The 18,256-nt window shown below is 37.7% G+C and overlaps 1 long non-coding RNA gene across 1 annotated transcript, besides 3 other annotated features; it reads right to left on the bottom strand.

Annotated features, from left to right (window-relative positions):
- Window positions 3,588-4,095: an enhancer, noted in NCBI's record as "OCT4-NANOG hESC enhancer chr3:172572165-172572672 (GRCh37/hg19 assembly coordinates)". NCBI's record gives its function as "activates a minimal SCP1, AML or CMV promoter by ChIP-STARR-seq in naive H9 embryonic stem cells {active_cell/tissue: H9 hESC(naive)}" and the evidence as "EXISTENCE:reporter gene assay evidence [ECO:0000049][PMID:30033119]".
- Window positions 4,096-4,604: an enhancer, noted in NCBI's record as "OCT4-NANOG hESC enhancer chr3:172571656-172572164 (GRCh37/hg19 assembly coordinates)". NCBI's record gives its function as "activates a minimal SCP1, AML or CMV promoter by ChIP-STARR-seq in naive H9 embryonic stem cells {active_cell/tissue: H9 hESC(naive)}" and the evidence as "EXISTENCE:reporter gene assay evidence [ECO:0000049][PMID:30033119]".
- Window positions 4,177-4,471: a silencer, noted in NCBI's record as "tiled region #706; HepG2 Repressive non-DNase unmatched - State 24:Quies". NCBI's record gives its function as "represses a minimal TATA promoter and a strong SV40 promoter by Sharpr-MPRA in HepG2 cells {active_cell/tissue: HepG2}" and the evidence as "EXISTENCE:reporter gene assay evidence [ECO:0000049][PMID:27701403]".
- LOC107986052 (uncharacterized) lies at window positions 5,799-9,381 on the bottom strand. Its single transcript, XR_001740575.1, has 3 exons — window positions 9,271-9,381; window positions 7,525-7,672; window positions 5,799-6,006 (listed from the first exon to the last, which is right to left on the bottom strand). It is a non-coding gene; the product is annotated as an uncharacterized LOC107986052 (long non-coding RNA).
- Window positions 9,382-18,256: the final 8,875 nt, after the last annotated feature.

Genomic DNA, 18,256 nt, shown 5'->3' with positions numbered 1-18,256 from the left:
AGTGACTAGACTGAAACAACATGTTCTTCATAGTGCCTATAGTACACTTTGAAATAGGGTTTTTAAAATCAATCTTGTTACTATCTTGTGAAAAGTTTATTTATAGTACACTGTATTTTGGTGTTAAAAGAAATAATTGATCATATATATACATATACAAACACACACATATTTTTTAATACAGCACAGTTTTTAATCCTATTTTGACATTTCTCCATTTGTATATACACTGGGTGCTTCAATACATGGAAATGGTCCAAGCCTCTCTGAGAATATAAAATAATAAAGATAACATGAAACCATGGTGATGATGCTTAAATCATTTCAAAATAACAATTACTATCCTTTTCTTTTAAATCTCCACTAGAGATTTCTTACTGACTCTTTTTATAGTGGCCTGATGGCATTTCACTGTGGTTTGAAATTGTATTCTGCTTCACTTTAAATCCCTCCTGCATCAGTTTCACTCCATTCTTTCTTGAGCTATTGGTGTAAATGAAGAACTTACTTACCGTCATTTATACTGGCTATTTCTTACCTTTTTGCAGTGTATGTGGACAGAGTACTTTGCTCATCATGGGTGCTGAACAAATGTTACTCAAATTTAACCAATCAAGTCAAGCTAATCAATATACAAAAAAAAAAAAAAAAAAAAAGAAACTATTGGCTATTGAACAAACTACTTCTTCCAAAACATTTCATGTATATTATTTCACAACATATCTGTTGTTTTTATTTTCTCTGATTATACGGCTGTAGAAATTGAGTCTCAGAAAGGCTAAGTAATTCATCTCCAAGGTCACACAGCTAATGAATTACAGGGTTGGAACTTATGCCCAAGCCAATCTGTCCTCAAAAGCTATGTTTTTGGCTCTAGCCTAGGCAATGTCTCACCTTTGCTTTTGGGGCAGGATTTGGCTGCCTTTAATTGCCAACAGACTCCACATGTATTTTCTAATGAAAACAATTCTTAAACTATGAGCAACTCTACAGGAAATTTGAAAAAATAAAGAGCAAATTTGGAGAGGTCAGAGCTTTGAAATTTTTTTCCATCATATTTCCTGAAAGTAATTGTTCAGGAAGATAAGGTTGTACTTTCCAGTAAAGCTGTGACAGTCCCAGAAATGCTGACTCACTTGTAATGGAATGTCATTCCTGGAACCATGTCCCATATAAAGTGGCCTGTCAGAGTTCTAGTAGAGATAAAAGGGCCTCGCTGGTCATGGCGCCTCTCCCCGCCACTGCAGCCAGCATGTTCACAAGACACCTTCTGTCTGCTTGATGCTTACATGATAAGCCTGTGTTAAAGATGCCAACACTTCTCAAGTTGCATTTGAAAATATATAGCTACCAAGGCATTTGTTTCATTTAAAATGAACAAGATTTAGAAATAATAATTTATTTTAATGTATCTTTAATACTTTAGCATTTCATTTTTGGACTACTTTGCCCTGCTTCATTTCCTTGACACTCACTTCCATAGAGTTCTGTCCCACTAACATACAGAACAGAAAGCAGAGCTCTGGCCAACTCTGTCTCTCCAAAACCACCTGTCCAATAGTTTTTGCTCTCCTTCCTGGGACAAGCTTTTGAAAGATTCATTTCCACTCTATTACTTAGTGTCTCCTTTATCCTCTGCCTTCAACTCACTACAAGAAAATGGTCCCATTCATGCACCTCCAAAGAGTCATATTAAATGGATGTTTTAATTCCTTTTTCTAGTTGGTCTCTGCAATATTTGATACCAATCACCATTCTCTCATCTTTCTTTTTGAGACCGAGTCTCGCTCTGTTGCCCAGGCTGGAGTGCAGTGGCACGATCTTGGCTCACTGCAATCTCCTCCTCCCAGGTTCAAGCAATTCTCCTGCCTCAGCCTCCCAAGTAGCTGGGATTACAGGCATGTGCCACCATGCCCAGCTAATTTTTTTGGTATTTTTAGTAGAGACAGGGTTTCACCATATTGGCCAGGCTGGTCTCGATCTCCTGACCTTGTGATTCACCCGCTTCAGCTTCCCAAAGTGCTGGGATTATGGGCGGGAGCCACTGCGCCCGGCCTCATCTTTCATATAAAAGATGAAACTTTTATATTTCTTGACTTCCTTAGTACCATTCTCTTCTCATTTTCCTCCTATTTATTTGGCCAATCCTTCTTGTTTTCAATTCATATACCATTTATATCATTCATCCTTTTTTCTCTTGCATCTTAAATATTAATTGTCCAAAGGATCCTGCTTCTGCACTTTTAACTCTACATTTTCCCTGGGTGACCTCATTCTCAAGACTTCAAATGTCCCCCTTACTTGGTGTCTGCCAAATACTGAAATCATCATGAAGGCAAGGATCACCACTAATATTGGTCTGGAGTATAGTAAATGACTAATACATGTTTATTAAACACATTAGATATCTATTTCCAGCCCAGGTCTCCTTCCTGAATCCCAGATAGCAGATATGTACTTCTGTACATGTGTGTATAAATATCTACCTGTTGGATCACTCCACTTGGTGTCCTGCAGACATCTCACATTAACTTATTCAAAAGTAGCTGATTTTTCACTGGCCCTGAACTTCTTTTTTATCTTTGGTTTTCTATTTTGGTAAATGGAACTGTGAAAATCAGAACCCTGGAAGCTGTCTTTATGTCTTTCTTTTCACCGACATACCCTTCTTCCATGTCCAGTTATTCATCAAATCCATTTCTTTTTCTCTTGTAAACCTTTCCAATCTATCCTCTCTACTCCATGCACTCACACTGCCACAACTTTAGTTCAGAGCTTCTTCATTGGGCTACTATCAGAGCCTCCTAACTGGTCTCACTATCTTCACTCTCTCTCCAGCTCCTGAACACCCCAGTGCATCCTCTGCACTGCTGTCAGAATGCTTTTTTTCTGAAAACAAATTCAATCGTTTTCATGAAAGACTCAATGCAAACGCGATTGTAGCCTTGTAGCAGAATTCAGACAATCTTCTAATGGGAAACAGACCTGGGTCAGAAGCACCCTAGATTCTTGTATTCTGTTCATGCTAAGGCAGTGGTGCTTGTGCCCTATTTCTAACCAATATACTTATCTTGAATAGTACTTATTTCACTAATTTAAAATTATTACTAGCATCCCTCAGGCTGGTTAATAAACCCTCTAGTGCTAATTGTGATTGCTGAGAGTTAAACATTTAGAGTAGCTACCTGATTAGAGTCTTTCAAATGCTAACTAATCTCCCCTAGAGTGTGTATTTCTGATTAGGGTTCTTCAAATATTAGCAAGGTGCCCCTGGAGGTAAGTTAAACTAACTAAACACACACATATGTGTCATACTTTCTATGCTGAATGATATTGAACTAAATTACAGAAAACACAATGCCTTATTTTATGGGTCCCCACATGCATGCCTGATCTGCCTACTGGGTAATTAAGCACTGAAGAATAGATATACAACAAATGTTCTGTTAATGAAAAAATAAATTATTTTACTAATTCATTAGTTATAAGGACAAAGACTCTTGATGGGGAATCAGAATTCATTTCATCAATACAAGCTTCAAACTTCCATTTCTCTGGCAGTAGCTAATATTAATCTGAATCTTATAAAACTGCCTTCATTACAGTTCAAAAAAGACACAAATATTGGCAGTTTTATATAGTTCAGTCTTCAATGATGCTTCCAAGCCACCTTCAAACACACAAAGAGAAATTCGGTTAAAGCACTTGTAAGAATGAAGTTCTATCCAAATGCTTCATAACGAGGCCCTGCGAGGAGAAGCAGATACCTACCTCTCAGTGTTGCCAGCGCCCTCAACCTTATTAATATTCTTAATCATTCAACAGGGGGTGGAGTTGCTGTGAAGTTGTCTCAGATCAATTAAATCTTGGGAGCTTCTGAAGTGACATTCAGATTCGTGGGAAGGTGAAAGAAAATCAATTTTTCCTTTTCAGTTTCCAGGTGTCCACAGATTTCCTGGTGTGAATAGTGAACTCTCATTTCCAACACAAAGGCAAAGATGGCCTCTCCTTTCAGGGCCATGGGCTGATTGCTGAGGTGATGCAGGGAAGAATGGGAGCCCCAGGGATCTTGCCTTGCCATTACTGACACTGACACAAAAAGAACTATTTATTTCAGGAGTTAGAAAAAGGAAGGGACAGAATTCCTATTTCACCAATCCTTGAAGTAAAATTACCTTGAGAATTTAGCCTTCAAACAAGGGGGAGAACACAAGCCTTCATTATCCAGCCAACACGTGAAGGGAAGAAATGCTTTTTGAGGAAGAATGTCATTTCAGAGGGGGAAGAGGAAGGAAAGATGAGTCAAAGTTGGGCAAAGTGAATTCCAGCATTTAGCTAGCAATCACCCCTAAACTGCCAGACTAAGCTACTGTAGTTCCTGAATGGCTGAGTCAAAGCAAAAGAGCAGGTAATTAGACAACAAGCACTAGAGCGTTGAGAAGCTTCACATTTCCAGGGTTTGCACTGAGAGCAAACTGGATATATGTGCTATGCTTTTAATATATTCTGCATCCTAATTACCAATCAGGGCTGATTTGTCAGTCATCCTACCTATAATGCATAAAGCACTGGAACATAGAAAAAAAATCAAGTTCAGAAAATCAATTATGCTTATATTTACATTCCCTCAAGACAGAAGCGTTACAAAAACTGCCGAAATATTGCCTATCTCTTTACAAAGGAGCGGAAAGGAAGGGTGAGATTGCAATTCAATGTAATGAATAAATCGCTGGCTGTTTGGGGAAAGGTACAATAGCTGAATATTTATGAGACTGGTGATAGAAAATGCATCTTAGATGGTCAGCAACTGTGGAAATATTTTACCATTTTTAAAGAGCATAGGAACAAGTACATGCTCAAAAAATTCTCAAAAAATTTAGAATCATCTTTTACATATAGAGAGCTAACAGAAGACGTTTTAAAATTCAGCCTTTTTATTGGATAGTGGTTGCTAGCAAGGGAATTTTTCCTCATTCTCAAATAGCCACGAGTGTAACACTACACTCAGATGAGAGGCGGTGTATAACTTCCTTCTAGCCTTCTCAAGATGGTAGACTAAACTCATTCTGTGTCTCCCCTTTTTCAGTTCATGTTCAGTCTTCAACCAAAGCACCTGCATTCCATTATCACCAGTCCACCGAACCCAGTTCTGCCAAGGTCCCCAAAGATCTCTTAATTTCAAATTCATTCTGTGAGATGGAAGAATGAGACTAAGAAAATAAAAGTGCAATTCATTGCCTATTTCCCAATACTCATCTTAACAAACATCCCTGTGGTTGTTGACACTTCTCCCCTCTCCTGGAAACCCTCTCATTCTTGGTTTCTGAGGTTTTCACTCTTCATTATCCCTCTGCCTCTCTGGTCATCCCATTTGTATCTCTTTTTTGGACTTTTCTTTATCTGCATGTATCTTAAATATTGGTACTCCTCACTTCAGCCTGCACATTTTCTTTGAGTGATGTTCACTACTATCTCTACGGCATTAATTGCCACTGGCAGGCTAAAGATACCTAAATCTTCACCTCTTGTTCAGATCTGGTACTTGAGCCTCAGGTTCAACATCCAACTTCCAGACAGACATCTCCACCTAAAGATTCATCAACATTTTATACACAATATGTCCAAAATGGAAGTGATTACCCCTCCCTGACTTCCAACCCTGCTCTTCCTCTTGCTCTCCCTTTGCTGTTTGCTGCTTGCCATAGGCAGCCTCTGAGAGAGTCCCCAGTAAATCCCTTGTGCAACCCCCACCACCCCCCCTCCCGCCGTTGAGTGTGAGCTGGACCTAGTTCCTTGCTTCTAACAAATACAGACCTTATTCCAATTCCATCAATTCCTGCTCCAGGATCGAATCAAGGATCCCACACTGCTTCCTCATTCTTCTCCACGTAATCTGTGGCAGCCCCTCATGTTTTTCTTGTCTTTAATGTTCTTGACAGAGTACTGGTCAGTTATGTTTTAGAATGTTCCTCAATATGAATTTGTCTCATGTTTTCAACATTATTCCTTTTGGGAAAGAATACTACATAAGTAATGTTTTCTCTTTCTCAGTATATATCAGAGGGTAAATGAATCATGCCTTGACACTAGTGGTGTTAGCTTTGATCATTGGCTAATGTAGTATCTACAAGGTTTTTTTCTCTCTAAACTTCTCATTATTCTCCTTGAAATTAATGAAGATAGTTTGAGATTGTGGTAATATTTTCAAACTTTTGCTCAATGATTTTAGCATCCCTCTTATTTAGTGGATCTTACTGCTGTGTTTACCTAGTAATAACTTTGTATGTCCTTCATGTCTTCTACATTTGTTAATTGGAATTTTTCTATACGGAAGAGCTGTCCCTTCTCCCTATACATTTATTTATTTGGATTATTTATAAGTGTGGAATTCAGGATATTTATTTATTTTATTGGTTATAATCCTATATTATCATTAGATATTTGATTGCTCAAATTGTTACATGTTTGGCCATCAGGAGCTCCTATGTCCTTAGGACATGACCTCGTTCTTTTTTTTTTTGAGCGCTTTCTTATTTTCTGGTACCACACGATGTTCCAGTCTCATCTTTTATATTCTCTTTCCCAACTCTAGAATCAACCACTTTTTCAAGGAGCTCTGCTTTCTTTTTTTTTTACTTGGAGAATAGTATTTATAAACTAAGATTCTGCCAGTAGGTATGCTCATGGCTACTCAGGTATCATTACTCTCAGGCCCTCTCAGTGGACAAAGCTAAGAAATATATATATGAATACTAACCCACACATACACACATCTATACTTATTTCTACATCTATTTGTGTGTGCACATATATGTACATATATGTGTGTGTGTGTGTATATATATATATATATATATAAAATCATGAGTACATATCGATACCTCTGATACCAATCCAACATCATGACATTCATTCCATGCTTCCCCTTCATTTAACTGTGACTTCTTTCTCCAGCAGTGAGAAACCTGGCTCTCATTATCTACAATACATTCACTTATTTAATAGTGTACATATAAGGTAGTTAAACAGTTACTAATCTATACATATAAGAAGCAAATTTCCAGATAACAGTATTTGTATATAGTTATTTTTCTCTTTAGTCTCACAGTATCCAGTCAACGTATTATTTTCACACATTCACTTCAGTGTGATTATGAATTAATTTGTCACACATTAGGTTCATTTGTTACTGATTACATTCCATTTTGGGTTTATCCCACTTCCTGGTTGATTGTAACTATTTATTAGGGGAAAAGCATGTATGTGAAACATTACTATGGGTCTAAGAGTCAAAACTTTATTAAAAATATACTCAGAAACATGTTTCTTCCTCTTCCTCTCTACTAATGTGCCCATATTCACTTCTTCTCATATTTTTCCCACCAACTTCTGTAGGTAACCAGTCTCTAGTTTCTCATTTATCTTTCCTGAATTTATTTCGCACACATGTGCAGATGCATGTGTATTTTCTTATGCTTTTATATCTAGTTCTTTCTCACATGAAAGGTAACATGTTATATATACCCTTTTGTGCTTTTCCGTCTCACGGAGTAGTATGTCCTGGAAATCATTCCGTATCAGCTCATGGAGATCTTCCTCATTCTGTTTTACAGGAGCATAGTACTCCATTGTGTAGGTGTGCTAGAATTTCTTCAACCACTCCTCCGAAGTGCTGAAATTTAAGTTGCTTCCAATATTTCTCAGTTACAAACAATGATACAATAAATAACTTTGGTATATACATTTTTGTATTTGGGGAAGTATATAGTCACGGTGGATCCTAGCAGTGGGATTTCTGGGTCAAAGAGTAAGTGCATATGTAGTTTTGTTAGGTATGAACAACTTGCGTTTCACGAGTGAAACCTTCTTACCAGCAATTTGTGAGCTAGTATCTGTGCCCTCACAGCCTCACTAGCTGAATGTGTGGACATGCTATTTAATTTTTGCCAGTCTGATAGTGAGAAATTGTACCTGAGTATTTATCTCTAATTATAAGTGAATTTGAATAAGTTTTTCATATATTTGAGGGCTATATATTTGTGTGTCTGTTCATGGTTTTTCTCTAACAGGTCTAGGTCCTTCTTCTCTCCATTTCTCAATCTCTGTATGTATGTCTTGAATATTTTCTCCTGGTTTGTCAGCTGTTTTGGTGTTGTTTAGGATGTGTGCTTTTTAGTCTTGAAAGTTTTTTTTTAAATTTTTTATGTAGTCAGATTTCTCAATCTTTACTTTTATTGACCTTGGATTTTGAGTAATGATTAGAGAGGCTTTCCCTGTACCTTCTACAAGGTAAAAAAGGAATTTACCCACATTTTCTTCGCATTCTCATATGCTTTCTTTATTCACATTTAAATCCTTATCCCTTCTTGAGTGATTCTTGTGTATGGTGTGAGATACGGATCTAATTTTTATCTCCTTTCAAATGGCCACCCATTTGTCCAGCACCATTTATTTAAAAGCCCAGGCTGGATGGCACCTAATAAACTAATTTTTAAATCTACAACAATAAGGAAAGGAAAGGAAGCCATGCCCTAGAGTACATGCCGAGGAGGAATATTTTATAAGCCAATTTATCAAGAATACACAACAATCTTAAATGGGTATCAACTGCCATGCATCTCTTGACTTCTTTTCTAATCTAACAAAAGTGCTATGGCTCTCATTTGACATAAGAGTTGGGCTGGAAAAAATCATTTCTTTATTTGTTCTTCTGGAATTGTTTTCCATTTCAACCCACAGAGTCAGAGGCATAATACTGAGCTTCCAGCCACATCTACAGTAACATCTTGACATCCATGACATACTTTAGGTCCTTAGAAAACAGCTGGATATAGTATTCATTTAATTCTTCCAGCTGTTAGTTTTTCTCTTTTGCCTTTGGCTTTTTAAAATTTTACCAGTTCATTTCCATTCTCCTAGAAAAGCTTCAGACACTGAAAACATCAATTTATTTTAAAGGGAGTGGTTCTGGGATAGGACTTTTTATTCTGAAAGACTATGAAAACCCAAGCAAAGCAGCTCCTGGCTACATTATACAAGTGATTCAATTCCAAGTTTGTCCTGCGTACTTCTCTGCCTCCCACCCTGCAAAACATTGAGAGATGAATCATTTAATTTCATAAACACTTGGTGTTAATTACTGGATGATGAATTTTGCTATAAGTAGGATCAGTTTGACACTTAAGAAATGCTGCAAAATCCAGCTTTTAAGGTGTGCATGAGGTAGGTAGATTAAGTAGCTAGGATTCATACCAATAGATTTATCCATACCTCTGAGCTGCTGAAATCAGTGAGTCAGCCAGAGTCTTCACTTCATGTTTGTGAAATGTCTTTCCTCCAGGGAGTTCTCCTCACATTCATTATCTCATTAATCATCCAACTATTTCCCTTGGAGAAAGAAAAGTGGGGAAACATACGTTCTATTAGCTCTTTTATTCCCAGGAGGAAATATTGAGGCTTAGAGAGAACAAATAACTTCCTCATCTGTAAAATGAGTCCTCTGGCCCACTCCATGTATTTTGCCCTAGGTGCTTGGTAAGGATGAAAGATTTGAGAAGAGCTTTACTTCTTAGGAAAAAATAATTACATTTGGCTAGTCAGGCAAATTATTAGAGGTTGTACCACTGTAACTTGAGTGAGAATTTTAATAAAAATGAAAATATATGGTACAAGAACCTATTGCTCTTTTGTGGCTCCTGATATTTATTTTTCTGGTATATCATGGTTACAATCCCAAATAATGAGGCTTCTGTAGGTTAGTCACCATTTGAAGGTATTGACATGCTTATTATACACATGAAGGAATGGAATTAATTAACATTTTGGGGATACCATCTTTGCATATGAAATTTTATTTAGTCTTGATAACAACCAAAAAAAAAAAAAAAAAAGAAAGCATTATTATCCTTATCTTACAAGTAAAGATGCAGAAGAAACTTACCAAGGATATCCCAGCCAGTAAATAGCAGAGCTGGGATTTGAATCCAGATCTTTTGATTTTTAAGTATATGTTTTCTCTAATATATGAAGTATTCACCAGAAATGACATGTCTCATCTTAATTCAAGTTAATTCCAACATTTTAAATTATGTAATTCACAACATCGGCATGTGTCTGTATTTGTTGTTTTAAAAATATTGTGCTTCTAGATAAGACAGGAGCATAATCTTCGCAACCATAAGCAGTGACTCTGCTTGGCAACTGTGAAAGCACATTAACCTCATGATCTGAATTCAGTAAACCTGGGTATACATCAGGCTACTTGCTGCTTGATCATGTTAAATCTCTGTCTTAGTCTGTTTGGGCTGCTATAACAAAATATCTTAGACTGGGTAATTTAGAAAGAACAGAAATCTATTTCTCACAGTTCTGGAGACTGTAAAGCTCAAAATCATGGCGATGGCATGTGGCTGCTCTCTGCTTCCAAGATGGTGCCCCATTACCGGATCCTCCTGCATCCACCTGATGGTGCCCTGTTGCTGCACAAGAGGATGCTGTGCCCTCACATGGTGGGAGGGATGGAAGGGATAAGAGAGAGAGAGGCAGCTCCTTTGCACCTTTTATAAAAGCACAAATCCCATCACTCCACCTTCATAATTTAATAACTTCCTGAAGTCCCCACCTCTTAAGACTATTACATTGGTGATTAAGTTTCAACATATGAATTTTGGGGACACATTCAGACCATAGCATTCTCTAAACCTAGTTTGCATTTCTCTAATCTGTGAATAATAATAATTACCTCAAAGGTTTTTGTGAGGATTAAATGAAATGAAGTTTATAGAGTTTTTAGCATAATGAATGGCACATAGCTCTAAATTAATAATACCACTACTGTTAATAAACAAATAAGTTATACCCTTGGGAAAATAAGCAAAGAACATACCAGAATAATTCACAAAAGAAATGCAAATGGACAATTAATGTCCAAGAAATTATGTTCAATTAGAGGAGCAATAAAACATATCAGGAATAAAGCAGGTCAGCATTTTTCACTCAAAATATTGGTAAGTAAAAATAAAAAATGATATCCAGTACTCATAAGGAGTGAGGAGCTGGCACTCTTGTAGATTGCCAGTAAAGAGTGTAAATCTATAAAATCTTTTTAGATGGCAACTTGGCAATACATATAGAAAGTTTTAGAATGCCCATATATTCTTTGATTGAGGAATTTCACCCAGAGGAATTTATTCTGAGGAACATCAAGTACACTATAATAAATGTACAAAGAATTTCATGACAAAAATTGTATGCATATTAGAAGTTTGAAATGATCTTAATGTTCAGCAATGAGGAATTGATTAAATATATTATGGTACATAAATACTGTTAAATGTTTTGGGTTATAAAAAGAGAGACTTATTCAATTTGTCTCCAGTAAGTCAGTACCTATTGGAACTATAAATGGCACAAAAAGAAGTTGAGAGTCTTATCTACATGATCATGCTTCATGGAACCAAATACAATTCCCAAAGGAAGTGCAAGTGCAACCATCCATGAAGACCTCCCAAAGGCTAAAATTCAGAGAATTCGAGAGCTATTCAAAACCCAGCAGCTTAAAAAACCAGAGTATCTGTTCTCCTGTCATCACTCTGAATTTGTTCATCCTGACTGCATCATGACTCAGCTCTACCTAATTACTCCTACTCTACCTACTAACCAACTATATCCTCCCCTGTGCTGTATGATTTAGCTTACAATAATCATAATTTTCTCTTACTCGTAGCATCTACTGCTTTATTTTCCTCCTGTCAACCTTTTCCATGAGGGTATTCTATCTTCTGCTCCCCTTATCACTGACTAAATCCTTGTATATATTATATAAATTCCCAAGGGAATATGATATTTTGTATTAATTGCTGATACAGTTTGGCTCTGCATTCCCACCCAAATCTCATCTCTTTGTAATCCCCACATATCAGGGGAGGGGCCTGGTGGGAGGTGATTGAATCATGGAGGCAGACTTCTGTCTTGCTATTCTTGTGATAGTGAGTTCTCACGAGATCTGGTTGTTTGAAAGTGTGTGGCACTTCCCCTTTGCTCGTGCTCTCTCTTTCCTGCTCCACCATGGTAAGACGTGCTTGCTTCCCCTTCTCCCTTCTCACATTATAGTAAGTTTCTGAGGCCTCTCAGACACGCTTCCTGTTAAGCCTCAGAAACTGTGAGTCAATTAAACCTCTTTTCTTCATAAATTGCCCAGTCTCAGGCAGTTCTTTATAGCAGTGTGAAAACAGACTAAGACAACTGCCATCATCACTGACTGGGCAAGCTTTTGTGACAGCTGTCTCATAGGTCAGAGGTCACTGGAACATTCACACATTGACTGCCCTTGGAAAGGTCAGAAGTTGAAAACAAGCCACATGTGGAACATAGGTGTGATTTGTTCGGCTTGCACTTTGTTGGCCCACACAGGAGATCAGATAATTTCTTTTTTCTTTTTTTTTTAAGACAGAGTCTTGCTCTATCACCAGGCTGGAGTACAGTGGCTCAATCTTGGTTCACTGCAACTTCCGCCTCCCTGGTTCAAGCAATTCTCCCATGTTCAAGCGATTCTCCTGCTTCAGCCTCCTGAGTAGCTGGGACTACAGGCATGCGCCACCACGCCCAGCTAATTTTTGTATTTTTACAAAAATTTTTATTTTTAGTAGAGACAGGGTTTCAACATGTTGTCCAGGATGGCCTCCATCTCTTGACCTCGTGATCTGCTCACCTTGGCCTCCCAAAGTGCTGGGATTACAGGCGTGAACCTGTTTAAACCTTCCTATGCACCTGCATAGTAACACTTCCAAGGATTTTTGCATAAATATACTGTACAAAATATCAACTACATAATTATTTCATACTTAATGGGCTTTTTAGTGGGTATGTTTTTATGTAATATGCAACAATACAACAGAATATCTAATAGAAATTAGTTTTCCTTATGTACTATAGCAGGCATAATTTTTAATATAAAATAAAAGCTACTGTGTGTTTTAAAGTTATGTCATAAATACAAATAACATTTAGTTAAATAAAATAAGCAAACATGGAAATTTTACAAAATGATTACTAACCAAATAAAGAGAGGTTTAGAGAGAGGGAGATGGAGGTTGCAGGCAGGTAGATGTTAATACTGCTCAGTCGATGTGAAGCCGAGTGGGAATGAGCTGGCAGAGAGTGAGTGGAGCGTCAAATGCCTGTGGTTCACCTGTTTTCAAGTCCAAGGATCTTATGTACGCTCATCTCTTTTTGGATCTTGAGACACTAGAGGTGCATGGCTATGAACCATTATCTGTAATGGCAGATAAAGTTATGGACCAAAACAAAACAAAACAAACTTTGCAAAAACAAGTATTTTATCTGCATAATTTCACGTTTCCTAAAGACCCAGCAATGAGCATTTATTGCTCCTCTTCTTTCCCTTCCTGGGCTGTAGAATGAGCAACTAGTTGAACAAGTTCTGTGGTCATACGTTAAGGTCTTTTTACCATCCACTTCACTAAATCTAGCCCTCTTCACAAGATTTAGGATTTTTGCTTTGCGTTAATCACTTCCCTGAAACCTTGGAAGTCAGCAACATATTGCAGTACTAGTTTCTCCCATAGTCCATTCATTGTTTGTTATGATACATGCCAAACCCAGTTGATAAATGTGAAGACCTTCTGAATGTCAAAACTCTTCTATAAATTCTGTGCTGAAACAGTGTTGCCTGCATCATCACACCATATATCAGCATATAAGTGCCACATACTGCATCACCATCTGCAAACAATATGCCTTGAAGGCTGTAGTGATTCAGGTCCAGAGGCTATGATAATGGCATCATGCTGGAAGGCAAAAAGTCCATTGCGATATTATCTCCATAACTGTCAACACTAGAAGGACATCTGGGAGCTTAGTCTATTATCAAAGGAGCCTTGTTTGCAAGTTTTCCATCCGTGTGTACTCTGATGAATAGAGACAGCTCCTCATGTAATCACTGAAAGCTGCCTTGGTCATCCTATCTTTACGAGCTGAATATTACACAGCAGGCAATTCACTCTCCCTTAGTCGCTAAAAGGCACTGGGGCTTTTGAAGTGATACACAAGCAGAGGTTTTAGCTTAACTTCACATTCACTTAAAAGTAGTGTTAGACTACTTTGGATGCTTTATGTTCTGGCATTTTTGTCTTCTTTTCTGAAGTGAACATACAAGATGGCATACATTTCCAAAGCAGATCAATTCCATCAACATTAAAAATGTGCTGTGCAGTTGAATCACCTTTGTCAATAGCGTTCAGCAATTCACAGGCTCGTACTTCTTCACAGGCTTTTCAGCACTCTTAGAAGACATTTTCATATAATAATGTGGGGATCTGATACGATAATGCACTACATGTTGAAACTGCAAGCACAAGATTCAGTGTTGTCAAGAGAAGAGCTGAGAATCTACCGCAGCAACTCTATTTTCTCCCCAGAATTTGTGCACAAATCAAACAGTCTTACTGCTGTGACAATGTAGATTTCTTATAACAAGTTTTCCTTTCAGATAGTGAATTCAAGAAAAAAATTTTACAAGCTCTTAAAACAAATATTTGGATAGTGAGATTCAGATGGCAAGGGATGTCCATTACAGTATAAGGAGAATATGAAAGGACATAAATCAAGGTTAATAGTAACCATCCCTGAAAGTTGGGACAGAATCATTTTAATAATTTTTCTTTTGGTTCCTCAATGTTTCTAGTCTATCTAAAATGAATAGGTATCAATTTTATAGTTTAAATGGAGAATATAGATACATTGCTAGATTGAAATGCCATCTACCTAGACTAACACAGTATTTCATGCCTACATTGTTTTGAGCCTCAAAGCAGAAAAGCTCGTCAACAATATTTCCTATACACTTATAAGATTTCAGTAAAGATCGAATAAGATATTAAATGGGACTCTTTTTGCATCATTTAAGAAGGCAAAGGAGGTGTCAGAAAACTAATTTTTTAACCTTTAGCTCAACACCACATAAAGGATATAAGAGGCCCTTATAGAAGAGGCCTTTGTAGAAAAGGCCAAGAAAGAAAATTAGGAGAATGTGCTCTCACATTTTCCCTCCTTCATCCACTGAGGAGGAAGAAAGATGTTTCCCTTTTACCTCAAGCTTAAAGAAAAAGGCTTTCAGGAGAACATTTATAGAGGTTGATAAGGGTTTCCTGCAATGTGTAGGGCACTGGTGTCTGACATACCCTGGAGGATTTACCCCCTGAGATAGGAGAACCCAGAAAGAGGCGAGGTTGGAGAAGGCTCTCCCTACACATGCACCAGTAGAGAGGCATGGCACTACCAGGCAAGTAAGGTATTTCCTGTCCCTGACTTCTTCTGTCTTCCCCAAGTCAGGGGAAACTGAGACATGGCGGTGGAAGGTAAGGGTGTAGCAAGGAAGGAGAGAGAGAAAATGGTAAGACCTGGAAAGAAGCAAGACGCCTTCTTTACCACCACAGGCTTCCAACTCAACCTGGGGGAGGAGAAAAGTTTCACTTCACATGAAGTACAGTGTTGATGATCTCAGTGGACTGAACAGAATGATGGCTACAAGGAGACTATCCCAGTGAATGAAATTGAATGGAAACAGTGGTTTTTGTTTTCTTTTGTTTTTTGTTTTTTTGTTTGTTTGTTTTTGAATAAGAAAACTGGAGCTGGCCACGGTGGCTCAAACCTGTAATCCCAGCACTTTGGGAGGCCGAGGCAGGCAGATTACCTGAGGTCAGGAGTTCGAGACCAACCTGGCCAATACAGCGAAACCCCATCTCTATAAAAAATACAAAAAAAATTAGCCGGGCATGGTGGCGGGCACCTGTAATCCCAGCTACTCAGGAGGCTGAGGCAGAAGAGTTGCTTGAACCCGGGACGCAGAGGTTGTGATGAGCTGAGATCGTGCCATTGCACTCCAGCCTGGGCAAAAAGAGCGAAACTCTGCCTCGAAACAAAAAAACCAAAAACAAACAAACTAAAAAAGAGTAAGAAAACTGGGAGATTAACTTTCATAAAAAGGGTGGGGAAAATCTAATGGCATTAAATGGTTAGCGATTGTGGTGTGGGAAGTGGGAGAATAAAGTTGCTTATAATCCTGCCCTATGGAGTTCTGCTCGTTCATATTACTAAAACTCCTACGTGCATCATATTGCTATCTTTACTGTAAAGAAGTTACGAAGTACATCATTCTCTACATTTCACATATGTGCTTTACTAGAACCCACAGGAAGTAATTCGCCCCAGTCTTTTTCCAGCAATAGTTCTCCACAGCAAACTGTTTTTATGCTGTGTGCAATGTGGATTAATGAACTTGACCTGCTGGCTGTGGAAATGGTTTTGGTCAGCCGTTAGATGCTCGGAATAAAATGTGTGGTACATTCCTAACAAATGCACCGGTCACTCTGAAGTAACTTTGGGTCCCAATCTCAATCCCAGCTTCATCCTACCATTCCTACTCTTTTCTTCATTGTTCTTATTTATCTTTTTGTGTAGTATGTATTTATGTAAGCCATCTCAAATTCTTTCTGTACTGTGGCAGGGCAATAAATACATTTATCACAAATGCCTATAGACCTAGCTTAAAATAATTTGCACTAAAATTAATCTTGAACATAATTTAACTTTGTTCTAGTGATTCTGAAGATGCTTTGGGGTCTTGCTTTGCCTTAAAGACATCAATATGAACATCCATTTTTATTGTGCTAAAAGTGTGATTAAGTTGATAGAGGACTCCAATTAATAATGGTGGATCTGATAACAAAGTTTTCTCTGTGTTATTAGCCTGGGTTGGGTAGGAGGTGGCGAATAAGGTTCTGAAATCATTTTCTTTAATGTTTAGGTATTTCTAAGTAAATATTCATCTATGTGTAAGCCATTTAATTTTAAAGAAGCAAATGCTGTTTATACCTGACAATGCTATTTGTACACATTTAAGATTATATACATATATATATACACACATACATACATTATATATATATACACACACACATACGTATATACATACACATATCACTTTGACTATTTAGGATGTGGACCAAATAGGGTTTCTAATTCAAACTGCAGTTTAAGCACAAATGATTATCTAATAATTCCAAGAAAGTGTGAAGAAATAATCCGGTAGAAGTGGACAGAAGGGGGATACATCAGTAGGCAAGAGGTTTAAACACATTTCTAAGAGATGGAAAGAAGATGGAAGCCTATTGAAAGATGAAACCAAACGAGAAGGCAAGGACCCAGAATTCAGAAAGGAGGGAAGGAAGGAAAGAACGAAGGAAGGAAGGAAGGAAGGAAGGAAGGAAGGAAGGAAGGAAGGAAAGGAAGGAGGGAGGGAGGGAAGGAGGTTAACATTGATTGCAGACAGGCTCCAAGTTCAGGGTCAGAGGAACAAATCGGGGCAAAGGGAGCTGAAAGGAAGGGGTTAATTAAAATTCTACTACACAACACTCCAGGAGGGGGAGGGGGAGGGTTATCAAAACAGGAGAAAGGAGGAAGGTAATAAGAAATAGCAGGGTAAAGAACTGTACGAGAAAGTCATGCCCAAAAACCATGGAAACTAAAATGTGACATGATTTTGAGCAATTGAGAGAATTAATAAGAAATAAAAATTAATTAGAACTGGATGCAAGGATCATTTGGCTTTGACTGGTACCAAAATTGAAACATCGAATTTATAATCCTAAAGCATTAATTGTCTCTATAATGAACAATATTCACTTAGTCGTAATAATGTAAATATCGTATACTAATTTTCAGCTTTTGAATTAACCTACAAACCAAACCTGGGAAACTTAAAAACGTTACATAGCAGAATGTAATTGTTATCAGGAGACACAGGGTGAAAGGGGAAAGGTGAAGTGCAGGCAAGGCTAGGGGCTCTAACAGCCTCCTCTATGGGGAGCAGCAAAGCATACTCTTGACTGCACAGATAATACAACCATCCCAGTTCTACCACTTAACTGATGACCTTGAACAAGTCAGTTTCATAACTGCTCTGTGCCTCAGTTTCCATGTCTCAAAATGAGGATAATAATTCTCTGATATGAGGAGAAAATGAATTTATTGTATGTGAAGTGTTTAGAACTGTGCCTGGCGTACAGTAAGCACTCAAATGTTTAATATTATCTAACACCATTAATATTCAAATCTAAAAATCACTTTTAAATCTAAAAAAAAACAATTATTGTATGTTGGGAGGTGGGAGGAGAGGAAGGGAGGGGAGACATAGCTTAAATAGACTAAACACTTTTCAGCTTCTCAGAACTTCAGC

This window comes from Homo sapiens, chromosome 3, assembly GCF_000001405.40.
Source record: "Homo sapiens chromosome 3, GRCh38.p14 Primary Assembly".
Lineage (NCBI taxonomy): Eukaryota > Metazoa > Chordata > Mammalia > Primates > Hominidae > Homo > Homo sapiens.
The sequence above is the reverse complement of the archived record's forward strand: the minus strand, read 5'-3'. Positions and strand labels throughout refer to the sequence as shown.